At 45.8% G+C, this 19334-nt stretch overlaps 1 protein-coding gene and 1 long non-coding RNA gene across 10 annotated transcripts in view, besides 4 other annotated features; one reads left to right on the top strand and one right to left on the bottom strand.

Moving 5' to 3' along the window:
• RCAN3 (RCAN family member 3) overlaps positions 1-4722 on the bottom strand; it is a 38697-nt gene extending 33975 nt beyond the window's left edge. For 2 of the 6 annotated variants that reach the window (NM_001251979.2, NM_001251984.2), the window contains exon 1: positions 4603-4722. The gene's annotated coding sequence lies outside the window, so the exon portion shown is untranslated. Of the gene's footprint in view, positions 1-3915; positions 4231-4602 lie in introns of those variants that run through there. The other 4 variants (NM_013441.4, NM_001251983.2, NM_001251977.2 and 1 more) reach the window with 2 other exon arrangements.
• Positions 2181-2381: a silencer, noted in NCBI's record as "peak119 fragment used in MPRA reporter construct". NCBI's record gives its function as "represses an SCP1 promoter by STARR-seq MPRAs in K562 erythroleukemia cells {active_cell/tissue: K562}" and the evidence as "EXISTENCE:reporter gene assay evidence [ECO:0000049][PMID:32103011]".
• Positions 3888-4387: a silencer, noted in NCBI's record as "silent region_433". NCBI's record gives its function as "represses an Ori minimal core promoter by ATAC-STARR-seq in GM12878 lymphoblastoid cells {active_cell/tissue: GM12878}" and the evidence as "EXISTENCE:reporter gene assay evidence [ECO:0000049][PMID:35858748]".
• Positions 4669-4841: a silencer, noted in NCBI's record as "fragment chr1:24828715-24828887 (GRCh37/hg19 assembly coordinates)". NCBI's record gives its function as "represses an EF-1alpha promoter that drives an FKBP-Casp9 reporter gene in an ReSE screen in K562 erythroleukemia cells {active_cell/tissue: K562}" and the evidence as "EXISTENCE:reporter gene assay evidence [ECO:0000049][PMID:32094911]".
• On the top strand, positions 4684-10812 carry RCAN3AS (RCAN3 antisense RNA). 4 transcript variants are annotated; one of them, NR_045409.2, is made up of 3 exons: positions 4684-4718; positions 7355-7413; positions 10470-10812. It is a non-coding gene; the product is annotated as an RCAN3 antisense RNA (long non-coding RNA). The 4 variants fall into 4 exon arrangements; NR_045407.2 differs by having other exon boundaries at positions 7303-7413; NR_045408.2 differs by having other exon boundaries at positions 7262-7413.
• Positions 5445-5544: an enhancer, noted in NCBI's record as "active region_402". NCBI's record gives its function as "activates an Ori minimal core promoter by ATAC-STARR-seq in GM12878 lymphoblastoid cells {active_cell/tissue: GM12878}" and the evidence as "EXISTENCE:reporter gene assay evidence [ECO:0000049][PMID:35858748]".
• Positions 10813-19334: the final 8522 nt, after the last annotated feature.

The following is a 19334-nucleotide window of genomic DNA, read 5'->3' as shown; positions in this document are numbered from 1 at the left end:
ATAAAACCAAGTGCAATTTAACTTTTAGTATCTCTAAAGGTGGGCTGTCTTTGTATCTTATCTCTTAGAGGCACTAATGTTTCTATCCTATTCCCAACCCATTAAAAAGAGGTAGAGAAAATACTGTGCCCGGGTTTTTGGAGGCTGGTAAGTTGGGGAGCTCTGGCTGACTAGATTTTGAAATTTGAGAAAGTCAACCTATTCTTGATAAGATTTGTTTGTTTCAAGTTCCCTCGTCTAACCCGTAAAAAGATTTTAAAAAACAGAACACAGGAAATAATCCTTCACCTGACTTAAAAAAAAAAAAATTCTTAGAATATCACACCTTCATTTCCTGTTTTCTACCTTCAATTTTGAGTACCTTTTTTTTTTTTTTGATATAACTTCAAACAGAAGTTATAAGAATAGCACAAGGAACTCGGGTATGCTGTATCCTTTACCCAGAGTCACCAATTCCTTCTGTTTTGACCATCTGCTTTATCTTTCTCTATTTTTATAGACATGCATTTTCCTGAGCCATTGAAAGATGGAGCATACCCCTTTTACTTCCAAATACTTCAGTGTATAAGAACAAGATCATTTTCTTATATAACCCATAGGATAATTATCAAAAACAGGAAATTTAACATTGATATAATACTATTATCTAATACATAATTTGTCAAATGCATAATCTGGATTCAAATTTTATCAGTTATCCTAATAATGTCTTAGCTATTTTCCTTCAATTTTTCTTTAGATTATTGTCAAATTATTTGTCGTTTGTCCCAAGATATCTATATTTCTTTCTTTTTCCTTTTTTAGAGACAGGGTCTCTGTCATGCGGGCTAGAGTGCAGTGGTATAATTATAGCTCCACTCCAACTATCACAAGACTAAACTGTTCCTCAGTTTACCAATCCAGGGAACTCTTGACTGGCCCAGCAGAAAGGGCTGAACCGATATCCTCCAGCTCCTGTAAGCAAAAGTCTGTGCTAATCCAGGTTTCCCGTCATCTCCAGCACAACTCTAACTACGGCTGGCTTCTGGCAAATTGTTTCTTCATGGAAATATCAAATGAGTGGAAAAACTCCAAGTAGCATGACCATCTGCTCTGCCACAACAGGCCTGTGACAAAAGTCATCTATCAAGGCAAAATGTCAAGCACATGGCATGGATCTTGCATTTTCTGTTCTGATCAGGAAAACGCAAATTCTTTCTCCTCCAGGATTAAAATAATAATAATTTTTCAAATTAATAGGCTTCCCAACTTGGTGAACATTTCAGTATCTTAGCTAGATGTACTTTTCACTTTTTTTGTATGTTAAAAATGCTACCAAACAATACTGGAAGCAAACAAGTGCTCCATTATCAGCTCTACAAGTGTCCTGCTGTATAACCTTGGGAAAAATCCCTTGGTTTTTCTGTATTTATAAAATGAACAAGATAAAATACATAAAGTGTATAAAATATATAAAATAAACATAGGTGCTTTGGGCTACTAAGTTCCTTTTTTAAATTTCTAAATTAAAAATTTCAACTAAGTTAAACAAAACAAAACACTTGGACTGGTGTGGTGGCTCATGCCTGTAATCCCAGCACTTTGGGAGGCGGAGGCAGGCGGGCTGCCAGAGCTCCAGAGTTCGAGACCAGCCCGGGCAACATGGAAAAACCCCGTCTCTACAAAAAAACACATGGTGCACGCCTGTAGTCCCAGCTACTCAGAAGGCTGTGGTGGGAGGAATACTTGAGCCTGGGAGGCCAAGGCTGCAGTGAGCTGTGTTTGCACCACTGCACTCCAGCCTGGGCAACAGAAGGAGATCTCAAAAAAAAGAAAAAAAAAAAAAAAAAAAAAGAAAAAAGAGAAAAAAAAAAACAAAGCAACAACAAAAAGCCACTTAGGATCGTCAATGCGAAGTTCTGAACGGCTATCACGAAGCCCTACCTTCTATTCTCTACTCATTTACCACTTACAGGTAGAACTGTACTATTTTTTAGTAGCTGTGTGTAAGAAAAATTTCGTGCGACAGTAAAGTAAAACGGGTGAAAATTTGATTTTTGTATTTTGTATGTTTCAATGACCCATGTCTTGTTTTCACAGATAACCTAGAATTGGTCCTGTTATAATTGAAGTTCCACTCCACCAGGAATTTGTCAGCAAGAGACAGATAGAAATAAACAACAAAAACCAGCCTACAAAACATATGAAAACAACAGGTTTTAAAGAATAACTGAAGTTGAGATATATAAGACTGATGCTATTTGTTGTGCTGTGTATAATTTCTTTTCCCTGGATAGAACCTCTACATTCTAGGGGAAAAGTGGAGATTGCTGTCCGACCTCCACCTTCTGTGTTTTTTTTCTAAGTAACAAACGGTGTTGAACTTTAGAGCTTCCATTATTTCACAGGCTTCAGGCTAATGGATTTCCGCGTCACACTATTTTTCATGCTTTAAGTCCTTCAACCAACAACTCTAACACCATATAAAATCTGCTCTTGTCTGTTACCTAATGTTCACATGTTTGAAACCTTTACAAACGTTATATTTCAACAGCAGGAAAAATCTTGTTTCCTAGAAAAGCACTGAAATCTGTTTTCAGGCTAAGAGAGAAAAGGTTTGGCTGGGTGCGGTGGCTCATGCCTGTAATCTCAGCACTTTGGGAGGCAGAGGTGGGCGGATGGCTTGAGCCCAGGAGTTCAAGAACAGCCTGGGCAACATAGTGACACCCAATCTCTACAAAAAATTAGCCGGCATCTGTAGTCCCAGCTACTCAGGACGCTGAGAGGTGGGAGGATCGCTTGATCCTGGGAAGTTGAGGCTGCAGTGAGCTGTGTTTGCACCACTGCACTTCAGCTGGATGACAGAGCGAGGCCTTGTCTCAAAAAGAAGAAAAGAGAAGAGAAGAGAAAAGAAAAGGCAAGGCTTGCCAATGCAGTAAAATGTAAAGCTGATGACCTGGCTAAAGAAGAGACTCAGTTTTCAAGCTTTTCACAGTCTTCCTGGATGGAAAGCCCATTTCTAGATCAATTTAAATCCCCACCAAAAAGAACACATTTGTGTGATGCATATCTGGCTCCTGAATTATGTGTTTACAGAGTTTAAGATATTGAACCAAAGCCAATGAAATAGTCTTAAAACAAATTACTTTACATCGTATGTAATCACAGCTACAGATAAATCAATTGCTTCTTTTGCCAAATAGTACATCAGAGACTTCTATGAAAAGTTCAAATAAATGTGGTGTACTTGGTGGCTTCCAACAAGTGGAAGCGAATATTTTTGGCTTTCAGCACTACAGGAAAACATCACTTTAAATAATCCTTGTTTGTATCTGAAACACGGATCTGGATTGCTTCCTACACTAGAATCCTAATCTCTAAAGGAGATGATCAGATTTTGCACGGAAGCTAGAAGAATCAACCTGGAACAGATCACTCCTGCCCTACCTGTCCAGGCGGCGGACAGAAGCAGACAGACAAGTTTCAAGAAGTTAGGGAGTCACTAATGCGATGGTGATCCACGCACCGTGGGGGAAGCGGGGCAAGGGAGAAAGACAGGGGGCTTCCACCTTCCAGGCGCCCCTACACCGCTCCTGCCTTCACAGGCAGGCTGGGCCTGTCGGCTTTTCAAAAGGTCAAACACACTTGGTGGGAGAAAATCGTTGGTGGAGAAGACAAAACATTTTTGTTTTGTTTTCCGGGACACCACCCTCGAGGCTGCCAGACTAGACCCCGCGCGCGAGAAGGGTGCGGCGGGAGGCGAGGTCGCGGGAGGCGAGGTCGCGCGCGGTAGCATCTCCCGGTCCCGCGGCTCGGAGTGCCCACCCCTCCCGGACTTCTCGGGGCGGCTTTTTTTTTTTTTTTTTTTTTTTTAACTTTTCATGCACCACCCCCCCCACCCGCCCCGCCCCGCCCCGCCCCGCGCTGGGTGCAAACCTGCTGGAGAGGCCGGGCGCCGTGGGGCCTCACCTGCACGCCCCGCCGCCGCAGGACGGGAGCCGGGAGGGCAGCGGACGGGCCCGGGCTGCCCGACGGGGCTGCGGGGAGCCGGACGGCGCGAGCTGCGGGGCCTCTGGGAGCCTGGTGGGCGGCGGGCGGGGCCGAAGGCAGAGCCGGGAGCCGCCTGCAGCAGCAGCCTCGCCGCCACGCCCTCGACGCCGGCGAGAGCGGCCCCCTGGGCTGGGACTAGGGCGGTGTCCCGGCTGAGCTAGGCTGCCGGCGCCGCGCGCCCGCCTCGTCCCCTCCTGTTCTGGCAGGGCGCGCGCACGGCGGCGCAGGCGCCAGAGCCCAGGACAAGGCGGGGACCCGGGCGGGGACCGGGGCGGGGGCGCGCGGGGGCCGGGGTGGGGGTGTCTCGCCGCGCGCGCCCTCCTCCCGCTCCTCCGGGTTCCTGGTCCCCAGCCTGTGGGGGGCTTGGGCTGTAGCGCTGGGGCGGGGGCTTTAGATCACCCCGAAAACAGGACCTCTGGCGACCTTCTCGTTTTCCACCGGGAGCGGAGAGAGCCGATCTCCTTTTCCTGCTAGCCCCGTAGGACAGTCCCCGGAGCAGCTCATAGGAATATGACGAACGTTTACTCAGGGCTGGTTACTATGTACACTGCGCCCCGCGCGCGGCGAGTTTACCTCGGTTCACCTCCCGGCAACCGGCGGCCCGGATATTATCAGATGCTGTGGGCTTCCCGGCGCCTCATTGCCCGAGGAGAGGCGGCCGCAGGTAGCTGAGCTGGAGCTAGCACAAGGTGTGGGACGGCACAGGCTGGGTCCCGCCCTGGCGGGTACAACCCTCTTCCCCTTACCCACTCCTTCCCCTCCCCTCCCATCCCCTCCCCTCCTCTCCTCCCCACTCGTGCTCTTCTCCCTCCTCCCGCTCTCCCTCCTCCTCTTACTCCTCTTCACCCTATGCCCTATCTACCGTTGTCATACAATCCACATGTTTAATGCTTTCTTTTTCGTGTAAAAACCCTTCCACGCAGTCTTGCTTGTCTCCGACGCCTTAGGAGACCATGGGACATGATTACAACTATTACGCAAAGGGAAGAGCCGGGGTCTAAGCTGTTGAGCGAGTTTCAGTGATAGGACCGAGGCTTACATTGGCAGGTATTATTACCACCAATAACAACTATGATGACAAAGCTCCTGAGCCCAACTTGGAAGGCAGCTGGTGTCTCTTCCCTTAGCCGGCAGAGAAGGAAGCAGGGTCACACAGCAGGGAAAATAACTGGGCTCATCTCCCACCTACAAGGACGCGCAGTCACGCAGTGGTGCGCACCCGTAGTCCCAGCTAACTCAGGAGGCAGAGGTGGGAGGATCGGTTGAGGCCAGGAGTCTGAGACCAGCCTGGACAGCATAGCAAGACTCCGTCTCAAAAAAAAAAAAAAAAAGGAATGTGCAGTTAGAAGAAAATCAGCTCTCATTACCCACTCAAGACCTTTCAGAGGCAAAGTGAGGCACAGTGAAGCTTAACATCAAAGGCACTCAGCGCCTGCATCATGGGGCAGGAAGATGGACTAAAATGTGTACAGCACATCTAATCCCTGTTAGATGTAAACTAAGAAATCAGGGTTGGATTATGACCCCAAGGGCTCCCCAGCAGTTGAGCCCAGCATAGTCACCGAGGTATGTCCAGCAGATCGCCCCTCCTACTTCCTGCTTGCTGCTTCTGTGGTTCCTGCTGCCTCCAACCGTGCTGCTCCTGCTCCCCATCTTGTCTTAAACTAAGTTCTTCACTTTCATTCGTTTAACTAATATTGATGGCAAGCTGCTTCTTTTGTCAAGGTCACTCTAAGGACTATAGTAATTATTTTTTCTCTAAATTCCTCTAACACAGCAACTTTTGCAAAAATTGAGGGTTGTTTTTTTTTTTTTTTTTGGTGTTTTTTTGTTTGTTTTGAGATGGGTCTGCTCTGTTGCCTAGGTTGGAGTGCAGTGGCACAATCATAGCCTCAACCATCCAGGCTCAAGTGATCCTCCCATCTCAGCCTCCTGAGTAGTTGGGACTACAGGCACATGCCACCATGCCTGGCTAATTTTTCTACTTTTTGTAGAGACAAGGTTTCACAATGTTGCCCAGGCTGGTCTCAAACTCCTGAACTCAAGCAATCCTCCTGCCTTGGCTTCCCAGAGTGCTGGGATTATAGGCGTGAGCCATTGCACCTGGCCAAAAAATTGAGTTTTCACATCAAATGAGATTGGAAACAGCTGCATTCCATAGCCCTGCCTGGAGATGTCTGATGCACGTTCACACAAAAAAAATGGCCCTGAGAGATCCTAAGTCAAACAACCAGATTAGCTTAATTTAGTTTCCCTGAGGTATTAGGCCCTGTGTGGGTGTTGGGCTTGCAAGGGTAAGGTCCATAGAGATCTGCCACCTGAGGAGCTCACAGATGGGGGAGACAGTGATTGTGATACAGTTGTATTTGTGCACTGAGACATTTGCAAAGTGCTGACAAAGCAGAGGAAGAAGTGAGCAATCCTACATGATGGTTCAGGGAACGGGGTTCGCATTTTCCAGTATTATTCAAGATTCTCTTTTTTTCATGGAATACATCAATCAGACTGGGTTAAGCAGCAAATGGAATGCATTGACTCACATAATAGAAAAGTTTGGGGCTTCAGGCATGGCCGGATTCAGGGGCTTAAACTACGACATTAGGATTAAGTTTTTTCTCTCCATTTTTTTTTTTTTTTTTTGAGACGGAGTCTCGCTCTGTCGCCCAGGCTGGAGTGCAGTGGCGCGATCTCGGCTCACTGCAAGCTCCACCTCCCAGGTTCATGCTATTCTCCTGCTTCAGGCTCCCGAGTAGCTGGGACTACAGGCGCCCGCCACCACGCCCGGCTAATTTTTTGTATTTTTAGTAGAGATGGGGTTTCATCGTGTTAGCCAGGATGGTCTCGATCTCCTGACCTCGTGATCTGCCCACCTCGGCCTCCCAAAGTGCTGGGATTACAGGCGTGAGCCACCGCACCCGGCCTCCATTTCTTGACTCTATTTCCTGTTGACTTTGCGTTCTTAGGCTTCCTTTTCCCCATGAGATGGCAGAATGGCTGCTTACAATTTCAGATCACACCCTTTCCAGCAGAAAGGGAGTTTCTTTTCCCTGATGCTGTCAACAAAAGTCCCAGGACTACATCCCATTGGTCTAACTTGTGTTACCCGTGCATCACTAAACCACTCTCCTGAGAAGGGGCATGGAACATTCTGACAGCTCCTCACAAATCGCGTGGACTGAGATTTGGGGAGAGGTGGCTTCCTGTGCTAGATCATTTCTGTTGGCCCTTCCAGACCTACTCTCCACCCTTTTCCTTCCTGATTTGAACCTCAAGAGGCCAACCTGCATGGACTGCTTCCACAGATCCCTTGTCCTCTGACTTACAGTTGAATTCACCAAATAGAAGACATTGGAAATGAGACCCGAGGGTTGGAGGAGGAGGAAGGTAAGGGTATTATTCCTCTGGCCCCTGCCCTTCTGGGTCGCTGCAGGTTGGCTACATGTATTTATTGAAGCTTCTGTCAACTGGCCTTCTTCACACAGCTACTCTCTCCTAGTTCTAGTAAATTCTCCCTTCTCCACCTCCAGAATTATCCACCCTGGAGGTGATAATGGCTCCCCTCTGTTGCCTGCCACAGTGTATCACACCATCAGCCCTGCTTTTTCCCTCAACCCTGCCCACACATCTGTATGTAACCTTTACTAAACCCCCTTTAGATTAATCATCTGCTGGGATGCTGATGGTTACATTCAACAAAGGAGATTCAAGTCTCTATTACCAAAAGAAAGGGGAATGAATCAAGGGCAGGCAACAGCACTATGGTACTGATATTGGTTTGGAAGAAGTATCACCATAGTGCAGACCACAGATGACTGTGGCTTGGACAGGGTCGTGATGGGGGAAGCAATGAGAAATGGTAGGATTCTGGCTATATCTCAGAGGCAATGTTAACACAGTTTACTGAGGAATTGTATGTAAATCATGAGCAGTAGAGAGGAGCTGAGGGTGGAAGTAGTTGGAAAACATGCATCTGGAGCCTAGGAGTGAGCTCAATGAGTAGTGATTTGGGAGGGAGGCGCGTTAGTTAGTTGAAACCACGGGCTCAGATGAAATGACCCGGGGAGCCCACGTAGAATAGAACACAGAAAGGGCAAAAGGCAGAATCTAGAAGAACAAACACCAGCCTTTCCATGGTGAACAGAGGAAGAGTTGCCATCTTGTATCTATCGTCTAGATCGTGGGCAACTCGATAACTTGAGCGCAAGAACAGAATCTTCCACATCCTTCCTTTTTACCATCGTGTCTAGCGAGGTGATGACCACACGGTGGGTAATCAATGCTTGTTATGAATGAACTTGACAGTTCCACATTTCTAACACTCCCTCCCTCTCCTTCTCATGTGAGGTTTGAGTTACAGGCCGAGAAAAAGAGAAATTGATCCCTGTGGCTCAATCCGTTGAAACCTATGCCCAGGGTGCTAAGCATTTCGCTGCCCTGGAAAACTTCAGTAGAACCTCTCAGACAATGCCACAGATCCCGAGTAGCACACCTCTTGCCTTTTAGGAGAATTTCCAGACCAGCGATTTCATTTCAGATTTTCTTATTCCAGATTTTCTTATTCTTATTTGAGTAGATTTAACAGTAAATATCCTAACAAATCCTTATTAGGTTTGTTTTGGGTTTGTGCTATGAAAATGATACAAGTGGCAAAAGATCTCCATCTCACATGCATACATTAGTAGTGGAATGTAAAAGGATGCAACTGATTTTTGGAAACTGCCAGTTTATCAAGCTAAACGTACACCTACCCTATGACCCAGAAATTCCACTCCTAGATGCAGACTCAAGAGAAATGTAGGGAAATGTCTACCAAAAAAGAGGCTGGTACAAGAATGCTCTTAACATCTTGGCCGGGTGAGGTGGCTCACGCCTCTAATCCCAGCAATTTGGAGGCCAAGGTGGGTGGATCAGTTGGGGTTAGGGTTTGAGACCAGCCTGGGCAACATAATGAAACCCTGTCTCTACTAAAAATACAAAAATTAGCCAGGTGTGGTGACGGGTGCCTGTAATCCCAGTGACTTGGGAGGCTGAGGTGGGAGAATGGCTTGAACCCGAGAGACAGAGGTTGCAGTGAGCCGAGATTGTGTCACTGCATTCAAGCCTGAGCAAAAGAGACTCCCATCTCAAAAAAACAAAAACAAATCAACAACACAAAATATTTAATCATACTATTCTCCAACTGTAAATATCCCAAATGTCCACAAGAGGAATGGATAAGAAAACCATGGTATATTCAAACAATATAATACTACACAGCAATAAAAAAAAATCATGAAATGTTGATACACATAACAACGGATAAATCTCAAAAGCAATTGTTGAGCAAAAGAAGTCAAAACGCATAGATGTATGATTTCATTTATATGAAAGTCAAGAAGAGGCAAAACTAATGTAATAAGCATGAGAATAGTGGTTGCTTCTGAGGGTAGGGATTAATTGGAAAGGGGCACAGAACATTCAGGGGTTATGGAAATGTTCTTCCCATGCCAGTATGTTTGCCAGACATGGTTCTAGGCATTGGGAATATAGCAGTGAACAAAACAGACCTAGTCCCTGCTTTTGTACAAATCCATCTCAGTTCTTTTAATTGGTTGCATTGTTTAATGCATTTTAAATAAGAAAAATGTGGCCTTTCTTTAAATATAGTCTATGACAAATCTGAGGAGCTTTCTTGCTTCGTTTTCAGTTGCTGATGGGAAGGCAGAAAAGTACAATGGAAAGAGTATGGGCTCCAGGAAGTCAGCGCTACCACTGACTGGCTGTGTGATTTTTGGGCAAGTTCTTTAAACCTGTGAAGCCTTACTTTTCTCATCTGTTAAGTGGATTTTTTAAATTATTTTTATAATTTACAAGCAAGGTCTCGCTTTTGTTGCCCAGGATGGTCTCAAACTCCTGGGCTCAAGCGACCCTCCAACCTCAGCCTCCCAAAGTTAAATAGAATTGATGATACCGCCTTGCAAAGTTGTTTTGTAAAGTGCCAGACACATTGCAGATGCTCGGGAAACATGAGCTGGTTTATAATCAGTTTACAAGGAAAATTTTACTTTTGCCCAGTGAGATATAAGCAGAGGGAGGCTGACTTGGCTGGCAGAGGTACCCTTTTGTTTTTTTTTTTTTGTTTTTTGTTTTTTTTTGAGATGGAGTCTCACTCTGTTGCCCAGGCTGGAGTGCAGTGGCACAATCTAGGCTCACTGCAACCTCTGCCTCCTGGGTTCAAGCAATTTTCCTGTCTCAGCCTCTTGAGTAGCTAGGATTATAGGCATGTGCCACCATGTCTGGCTAATTTTTGTATTTTTAGTAGAGACAGGGTTTCACCATGTTGGCCAGGCTGGTCTCGAACTCCTGACCTTGTGATCTGCCCATCTCAGGCTCCCAAAGTGCTAGGATTACAGGCGTGAGCCACCACGCCCAGCCCAACCTTTTGCTGTTCTTTCTTCTAGCCTGCAATGTGAACACGATGGCTGGAGCTCCGGCAGCCATTCTGGACCAGGAGGTAGCCTTGAAGATGGAAGCCACATGTTGGGATGGTGAATCCAAAAGATGAGGAGCCTGTATCCCCTGTGACACCAGAACTGCCATACCAGCCCTGGGTTCCTCCATCTATACTGCCTTCATATGGTAAAGAAATATTCTTGGATCTTGTTAGGTGTCTGTTGCAGCCAAACACAATCCCAACTGATATTCACTGTAAATGATTCCATGGCTCCCTGTAGTACTTCTACAAAGCATCTATCACAATTGTAATTAATAAAATAATTATGCAATTACTGGTTTAATGCCTAAGTCCCAAGTAGAATATCAGTTCCATGGGGGCAGGGATTAGTCTGTTCATGGATGTATTCCCAGCTCCTGTAACAACATCTGGTTCTGGTAGGTGGTAAGTGCACAATAAATGTAGCAGAGTGAAAGGTTGAGAGGAAACGGAGCTGCTTCTGATGAGGAGAGAAATCACTGCATATCGATCGATCTCTATCTCAGACTCATTAATATGCATCTGGGTGTGCTGGATATTTTAATTCATGTTCTACCACACTCTAGATCTCCTATGGGATTTGCATCACAGATGGTACCTTTTCCTGAAGAGCCTTAAATTAACCTGCCTCCCTGGTAACACCCTCATTTGTCTCCCATTCCTGGCAAGTCAGCCATTCCCCCAAGAAGAGAGTTGCAACACGATCCAATAGTTTGCTGGAGGAGTGAAACTTATCAGCCCCACATCCAACATTGGTTGGGAGATGAGTCATGTCGATTTTTGATATTTAAAATTTTCTCATAAAAATTGGACTTGGCTTTTATAGAACATTTGAAAACAAAAAGATAAATTAAAAAATTCAAATCACGTACAATCCCAGGATCCAGAGATAGTCATGTGCAAGGAAAATATCTTGGGTCCCCCAAATCACTAAGCCAAAGGGAAAAATCAAGCTGGGAACTGCTCAGGGCAAACCTGCTTCCCATTCTATTCAAAGTCACCCTTCTGCTCACAGATAGATGTATATCTGATTGCATCCTTTGGAGAGGCTAATCAGAAACTCAAAGGAATGCAGCCATTTGTCTCTTACCTACCTATGACCTGGAAGCCCCTTCCCCGCTTCAAGTTGTCCTGCCTTTCCGGACCAATCAGTGTTCATCTTACATATGTTGGTTGATGTCTCATGACTCCCTAAAATGTATAAAACCAAAGTGTGCTCTGACCCACCTTGGGCACACGTTGTCAGGACCTCCTGAGGCTGTGTCATGGGCATGTGTCTTCAACCTTGGCAAAATACTTTTTTTTTTTTTTGAGATGGAGTCTCACCCTGTCGCCCAGGCTGGAGTGCAGTGGCGCAATCTCGGCTCACTGCAAGCTCCGCCTCCTGGGTTCAAGCTATTCTCCTGCCTCAGCCTCCCGAGTAGCTGGAAATATAGGTGCCCGCCACCACGCCCGGCTAATTTTTTTGTATTTTTAGTAGAGACGGGGTTTCACCGTGTTAGCCAGGGTGGTCTCGATCTCCTGACCTCGTGATCTGCCTGCCTCAGCCTCCCAAAGTGCTGGAATTACAGATGTGAGCCACCACGCCCGGCCCAACCTTGGCAAAATAAGCTTTCTAAATTAACTGAGAACTGTCTTAGATTTTTGGAGTTCAGAGTCACTATTCAATATTTTAGTATACAGTGTTTCTCTCCAATTTTTTGGGTAAGATTAGTATACCATTAGAATCAGCCAATTTGGATCTCTTACCTATTTCACTTAACATATTGCAAACATTATCTTGTGCTTTAAAATACTATTTAATTTTTAATGACTACATAATATTGCATTGTGTTATTTATCTAATTATTTCCTTATTGTTGTAATCAAAGTTTCATTCCAATTTTCTCTTACATAATTAACCATACGATGAATACCTTTATATGTAAAATATGCTGTTGCATTTATGATTATTTCCTCAGCATAGATTCCCAGAAGCAGTTACTAGGCAAGGGGCATGAACATTTAAAAAAACTCTTACTGGAAAATGACAAAATGCATTTCAAAAAGGTTGTTACTCTATTTAATTATAAATGCCTTTCCTGATTGATAGGCAAAAAACAAAAACAAAAACCTCCCCAAACATGACATCTTGATTTTTCACAAATGCTTCATTTGAGATCTGCCCAAGTTCTCTGTGCATTCTTCCACTGAGCTATTAGCATCGTTTGTTTATAAAAACATCTTATACACTGTGGATAGTAACCCTGTGATTACATTTGTTGAAAATTTTCTCTTCATAATTTCCCTTTCGAAAATTCTTTTTGATATAAAGATGTTTTAAAAATTTTATTTGGCCAGGCGTGGTGGCTCATGCCTGTAATCCCAACAATTTGGGAGGCCGAGGCAAGAGGACTGCTTGGGTCCAGGAGTTGGAGATCAGCCTGGGTAAACACAGTGAAATCTTGTCGCTACAAAAAATAAAAAAATTGGCTGGGTGTGATGGCACACACCTTTGCTCCCAGCTACTCAGGAGGCTGAGGTGGGAGCATCGCTTGAGCCCAGGAGGTCAAGGCTGCAGTGAGCCATGATTGCACCACTGTACTCCAGCCTGGGTGACAGTGTTTTGAGACCTTGTCTCAAAACAAACAAAAAACCCATATAATCCTACCACTTTGGGAGGTCCAGGAGGGAGAATCACTTGAGCCCAGGGGTTCAAGACCACCCTGGGCAACATGGCAACCCCTCAATCTTTACCAAAAAAAAAAAAATTAGCCTGGGCATAGTGGCAGGCACCTGTGGTCCCAGCTACTCAAGAGGCTGAGGTAGGAGGATCACTTGAGCCCAGGAAGGTTGAAGCTGCAGTGAGCTGTGATCACACTGCTGCACTCCAGCCTGGGTGACAGGGTGAGATCCTCAGAAAACAATTATTTGTATACAGTGTATTCATCTTGTACTTTATGATCTCTTAGCTTGCTGAAGTCTGATTAATCATGACCTTTCTTTTTTTGGAGACAGGGTTTATCAAGATGTAACACCATGTAAGTCAAGGTAAGCCTCAAACTTAAATACTATTTCCAGTGGTTCTAACATTAATAATTAAAGAACCCACTGCTTCATATATATACAATTTACTATAGATGCTCCTTGACTTATGATGGGTTATGTTCTGATAAATCCATTGTAAGTTGAAAATATCGTTAAGTCATAAGTGTATTTATTTATTTAGAGATGCAGTCTCGCTCTTTTACCCAGGCTGGAGTGCAGGGGTGTGACCTCGGCTTAGTGCAACCTCTGCCTCCTGGGTTAAGTGACTCTCCTGTCTCAGCCTCCCGAGTAGCTGGGACTACAGGCACATACCACCACACCAGGCTAATTTTTGTATTTTTAGTAGAGACGAGGTTTCACCATGTTGGCCACGCTGGCCTTGAACTTCTGACCTCAAGTGATTCACCCGCCTCGGCCTCCTAAAGTGCTGGGATTGCAGGTGTGAGCCACCTTGCCCAGCCCATAAATGTATTTAATACCATATACGTAACCTAGTAAACATCATAGCCTACCCGAAGCATGCTCAGAGCACTTACGTTAGCCTACAGTTGGGCAAAATCATCTAACACAAAGTCTATTTTATGAAGTGTTGGATAGCTCATGTAACTTATTGGTGATGGTACTGAAAGTGAAGGCAGAATAGTTGTGTGGGTACTCAAAGTACAGTTTCTACTGAATGCGTTATGTTTTCACACCATTGCAAAATGGAAAAATTGTAAGTTGAACTATCAAAAATTAGGGACCTGGGCAGGGCGTGGTGGCTCCCACCTGTAATCCCAGCACTTTGGGAGGCTGAGGCAGGCAGATTGCTTGAGTCCAGGAGTTTGAGACCAGCTTGGGTAACTTGCTGAAACCCCATGTCTACTAAAGACACACACACACACACACACACACACACACACACACAAACTAGTCAGGCATGGTAGCATGTGCCTGTGGTCCCAGCTCTTAGGAGGCTGAGGTGGGAGGATCACTGGGGAGGTGAAGCTTGCAGTGAGCCACTGAGCTCCAGCCTGGGTGACAGAGTGAGACCCTATCTCAATAAAAAATTTAAAAAAAGAAAATTGAAGATTGAATATATAAGAACATACTACATATGTATTTCCGGATGATTTATTCTGTTGCATTGATCTAGCTGTTAATAGAAATGGTTTTATTATCTGGAAGGGAATGTTGGTACACATATTTCCAAATACTTTTCAGAAAGGTTGTATCAATTTCTACCTGCCTCCTCCCAGCCCCCGCCCCCGCCTCGACTCTGCCCCCTTTCCACAATCTCACCAAAGCTGCAGGCATTTTCCTTGAAAGTCTTCACATCTTCAGAACACTCGGGCTCCCATCCTGCTCGCGCTACTAACTACAAGTGGCTGTTTAACATCGAGCAAACCTCACATTCTTTAAGCCTGGCTCTCTTCAGCTCAGTGGAAATAAGTGGTACTGCCCTTCTAAGATGGTTTGGGGGCTCAAATGAACCGTTTGTGACAGCACCTAGAAAAGTATAAACTTTCAATAACAAGGTTGGCAATCAGTAACTATTGCATTTTCATTAAAAAGAAACATGTCTTAAAAAAAAAAAAAGACACTCTTGCATAATTTTGAAGATCGGGCATGGAAATATGTCTTCAGCATGTTTGCAAGCCTGGATGCTGGGTGAGATTTCATCTTGCAGTGTTGCTCTAAATTAGAAAGACTCAATCCCATTTGCCCAAAGATTCGGAAGCTGCTGAATTAACTACAGATCCGTTATCTTCGAGGGCATCAGTACTTACGGGTCCACACTGGAAGGAGCTGCTCTTTAAACGTTGCAATCCTGGAATTTGGGGGGAGGAGATATTATTTCCTGATTAACTTCAGCTGCAGATGGTGAAAAATAAGAGCTAGATGGCCATAATCAGAAGGAAGAAGGGGCAGGCAGAGAGCAAAGGAGAAAATGGAACATTAAAAATGGGCAGCGGCTTGAGCAGCCCACCGATTCAAATGAGTCTGAGTTTTCTCAAGTGTCCATCAGGGTTTAGTGAAGAGACAGAAATCACATTAGTGAGTTAAACAGAAAGAATTTAATATAAAGAATTGTTGGCCAGGAGCAGTGGCTTGTGCCTGTAATCCTAGAATTTTGGGAGGCCCAGGCAAGAGACTATCCCTCAAGGCCAGGAGTTCGAGACCAGCCTTGGCAACAGACACCCCATCTCTGCGAAAAAAAAATTTTAATTAGCCAGGTGTGGTGGCGTGTATGGGTAGTCCTGGCCATTCAGAAGGCTGAGGTATGAAGATTCCGTACACCCAGGAGTTCAAGGTTGCAATGAGCTGTGATCGTACCACTGCACTGCAGCCTGGGCAACAGAGTGAGATCTCCTCTCAAACAAGAAAAAAGAATTTGTTACTTAGACATAAAGCTATTACCAGAGTAACTGAACAGGTAAAACTCGAAAGAATCATGGTGGTAGCAACTTTAGAGAGCTATGTCCATTCCTAGTGTGTCCAGAATTGGTGGGTTCTTGGTCTCGCTGACTTCAACATGACTTCAGGAATGAAGCCGCAGACCCTCGTGGTGTTACAGTTCTTAAAGATGGTACGACCGGAGTTTTTTCCTTCTGGTGGGTTCACGGTCTCACTGACTTCAAGAGTGAAGCTGCAGACCTTCACCATGAGGCTTCAGCTCATAAAAACAGCACGTCCAGAGTTCTTCATTCCTTCAGGTGGGTTCGTGGACTCACTGGCTTCAAAAGTGAAGCTACAAACCTTCGTGGTGAGTGTTACAGCTCACAAGGTCACTGCCAACCCAAACAGTGAGCAGTAACAAGAACAGCCAAACAACAAAGGCTCCACAATCAGTAACCAGACCCAATCTGATTGCCACTGTCCCTTTGGGCAGTCTGCTTTTATTCCCTTATTTGGCCCCACCCACATCCTGCTGATTGGTTCATTTTACAGAGAGCTGATTGGTCCGTTTTACAGAGAGCTGATTGGTCAGTTTTGACAGCGTGCTGATTGGTGCATTTACAATCCCTGAGCTAGACACAGAGTGCTGATTGGTGCATCCACAAACCCCAAGCTAGACAGAGTGCTGATTGGTGCATATACAATCCTCCAGCTAGTCATAACAGTTCTGCAAGCCCCCACCCAACTCAGGAGCCCAGCTGGCTTCGCCTAGTGGATCCCGTGCCAGAGCTGTTCGCCAGTCCTGCCGATGCGCGCCTGCACTCCTCAGCCCTTGGGTGGTTGATGGGACGGGGCACGGCGGAGCAGGGGGCGGTGCCCGTCGGGGAGGTTTGGGCAGTGTGGAAGCCCACAGGGGGAGAGGGGTTCAGGCATGGCGGGCTGCAGGTCCCTAGCTCTGCCCTGTGGAGAGGTGGCTGAGGCCCTGTGAGAATTTGAGTGCGGGGTGGGTGGGTCGGCACTGCTGGGGGACCCGGTGCACCCTCCACAGCTGCTGGCCCGGGTGCCAAGTCCCTCATTGCCTCGGGCCAGCTGCTCTGAGTGCGAGCGCCTGCGAGCGCCGCGCACAGCCCTGACTCCTGCCCGTGCTTCTCCCTCCACACCTCCTGGCAAGCAGAGGGAGCCAGCTCCCACCTCGGCCAGCCCAGAGAGGGGCTCCCACAGTGCAGCGATGGGCTGAAGGGCTCCTCAAGCGTGGCCAGAGTGAACGCCGAGGCCAGGGAGGCACTGAGAGCCAGCGAGGGCTGCTAACACATTGTCACCTCTCACTAGGACCAAGGGAACCAAAGGAAGAGGTTGTAATGATTAAACTTTAGAAGAGGTGATTCAGACATGAAAAGGAAGTACCTGTGCTACAACTTGGATGAACCTTGAAAGTATTATGCTAAGTCAAAAAAGTCAATCACCAAAGCCCATATATTATTTCATTCCTAGGAAAATCCAGAATAGGGAACTCTATAAAGACAGAAGGTAGATTGGTGCTTGCCAGGGGCTAGGAGTTAAAGGGTACCAGGAAGTGACAAAGAGTATAGGGTTTCTTTTTTAATTGTGGTAAAATACACCTAACATCAAATTTACTCTTTTCACTATTTTTAAGCATACAATTCAGTGGTATTAAGTAGATTTTCACTGATGTAATAATTAGAGCCTCTTCCTTGGTTCCCTTGGTCTTAGGAATGGACATAGCTCTCTATAGTTGCTGCCTCCATGGTTTTTTAGAGCGTTTACCTGTTCAGTTACCCAGGTAATACTTTATGACTAGGTAACAATTTTTTTCTTCTTTGAGAGGAGGTTTCACTCTGTTTCCCAGGCTGCAGTGCAGTGGTGCCATCACAGCTCACTGCAACCTCAAACTCCATCCATCTCCAGAACACTTTTCATCTTGCAAACCTGAAACTCTGTACCCATGAAACCCTGGACCCATTGACTTCGCAGTTCCCTCTCCCCTCTCCCCCAGCCCCTGGTAGCTGCCATTCTACTTTCTGTCTCTATAAATTTGATCCTCTAGGTACCTCATATAAGAGGAGTCACATAATATTTGTCCTCTTGAGACTGGCTGATCGGACTTGGCCTGATATCTTCAAGGTTCATCTATGCTGTAGCATGGGTCAGGATTTACTACTTTTTTTTTTTTGAGATGGAGTCTCGCTCTGTCACCCAGGCTGGAGTGCAGTGGCGCGATTTTGACTCACTGCAAGCTCCCCCTCCTGGGTTCACGCCATTCTCCTGCCTCAGCCTCCTGAGTAGCTGGGACTACAGACGCCTGCCACCACACCCGGCTAATTTTTTTTTGTATTTGTAGTAGAGACTGGGTTTCACTGTGTTAGCCAGGATGGTCTCGATCTCCTGACCTCGTGATCTGCCCGCCTCGGCCTCCCAAAGTGCTGGGATTATAGGCGTGAGCCACTGTGCCAGGCCAATTTCCTTCATTTTTAGGGCTGAATGATATTCCATTATGTGAAGAGACCACATTCCCTTTATCAACTGATAGGCACTTAGCTTGCTTCCATACTTTGGCAATCATGAATAATGCTGCTGCAAATGTGGGTGTACAAATACCTGTCTGAGACCATGCTGATATGGTTTGGCTGTGACCCCCACGCAGATCTCATCTTGAACTGTAGCTCCCATAATTCCCACGTGTCATGGGAGGGACGCAGTGAGAGGTAATTGAATCACCGGTGCGGTTCTTTCCCATGCTGTTCTCTTGGTAATGAATAAGTCTCACAAGATCTGATGGTTTTATAAATGGGAATTCCCCCGCACAAGCGCTCTCTTGCCTGCCACTATGTAAAATGTGACTTTGCTTCTCATTTGCTTTCTGCCATGACTGTGAGGCCTCCCCAGCCATGTGGAACTGTGAGTCAATTAAACCTCTTTACTTTATAAATTACCCAGTCTCAGGTATGTCTTTATTAGCAGCATGAGAACAGACTAATATGCCTGCTTTCACTTTTTTTGTGTGTATAAATAACTCAGAAGAAGAATTGCTGGATCATGTGATAATTCTATTTTTAAATGTTTTTTGGACTTGCACTTATTTATTTATTATTTTTGAGATGGAGTCTCGCTCTGTTGCCCAGGTGGGAGTGCAGTGGCACATCTTGGCTCACTGCAGCCTCCACCTCCCAGGTTCAAGCATTCTTGTGCCTCAGCCTCCCGGGTAGCTGGGATTACAGGCATATGCCACCACACCCAGCTAATTTTTGTATTTTTAGTAGAGCTGGGGTTTCACATGTTGGCCAGGCTGGTCTTGAACTCCTGACCTCAAGTGATCTGCCCACCTTGGCCTCCCAAAGTGCTAGGATTAAAAGCGTGAGCCACTGCGCCCGGCCTATTTTTAATTTTTAAAGAAACCACCATACTGTTT

The sequence above is a fragment of the Homo sapiens genome, chromosome 1, assembly GCF_000001405.40.
Source record: "Homo sapiens chromosome 1, GRCh38.p14 Primary Assembly".
NCBI classification, from domain to species: domain Eukaryota; kingdom Metazoa; phylum Chordata; class Mammalia; order Primates; family Hominidae; genus Homo; species Homo sapiens.
This window is presented reverse-complemented; position numbering and strand designations above follow the sequence as displayed.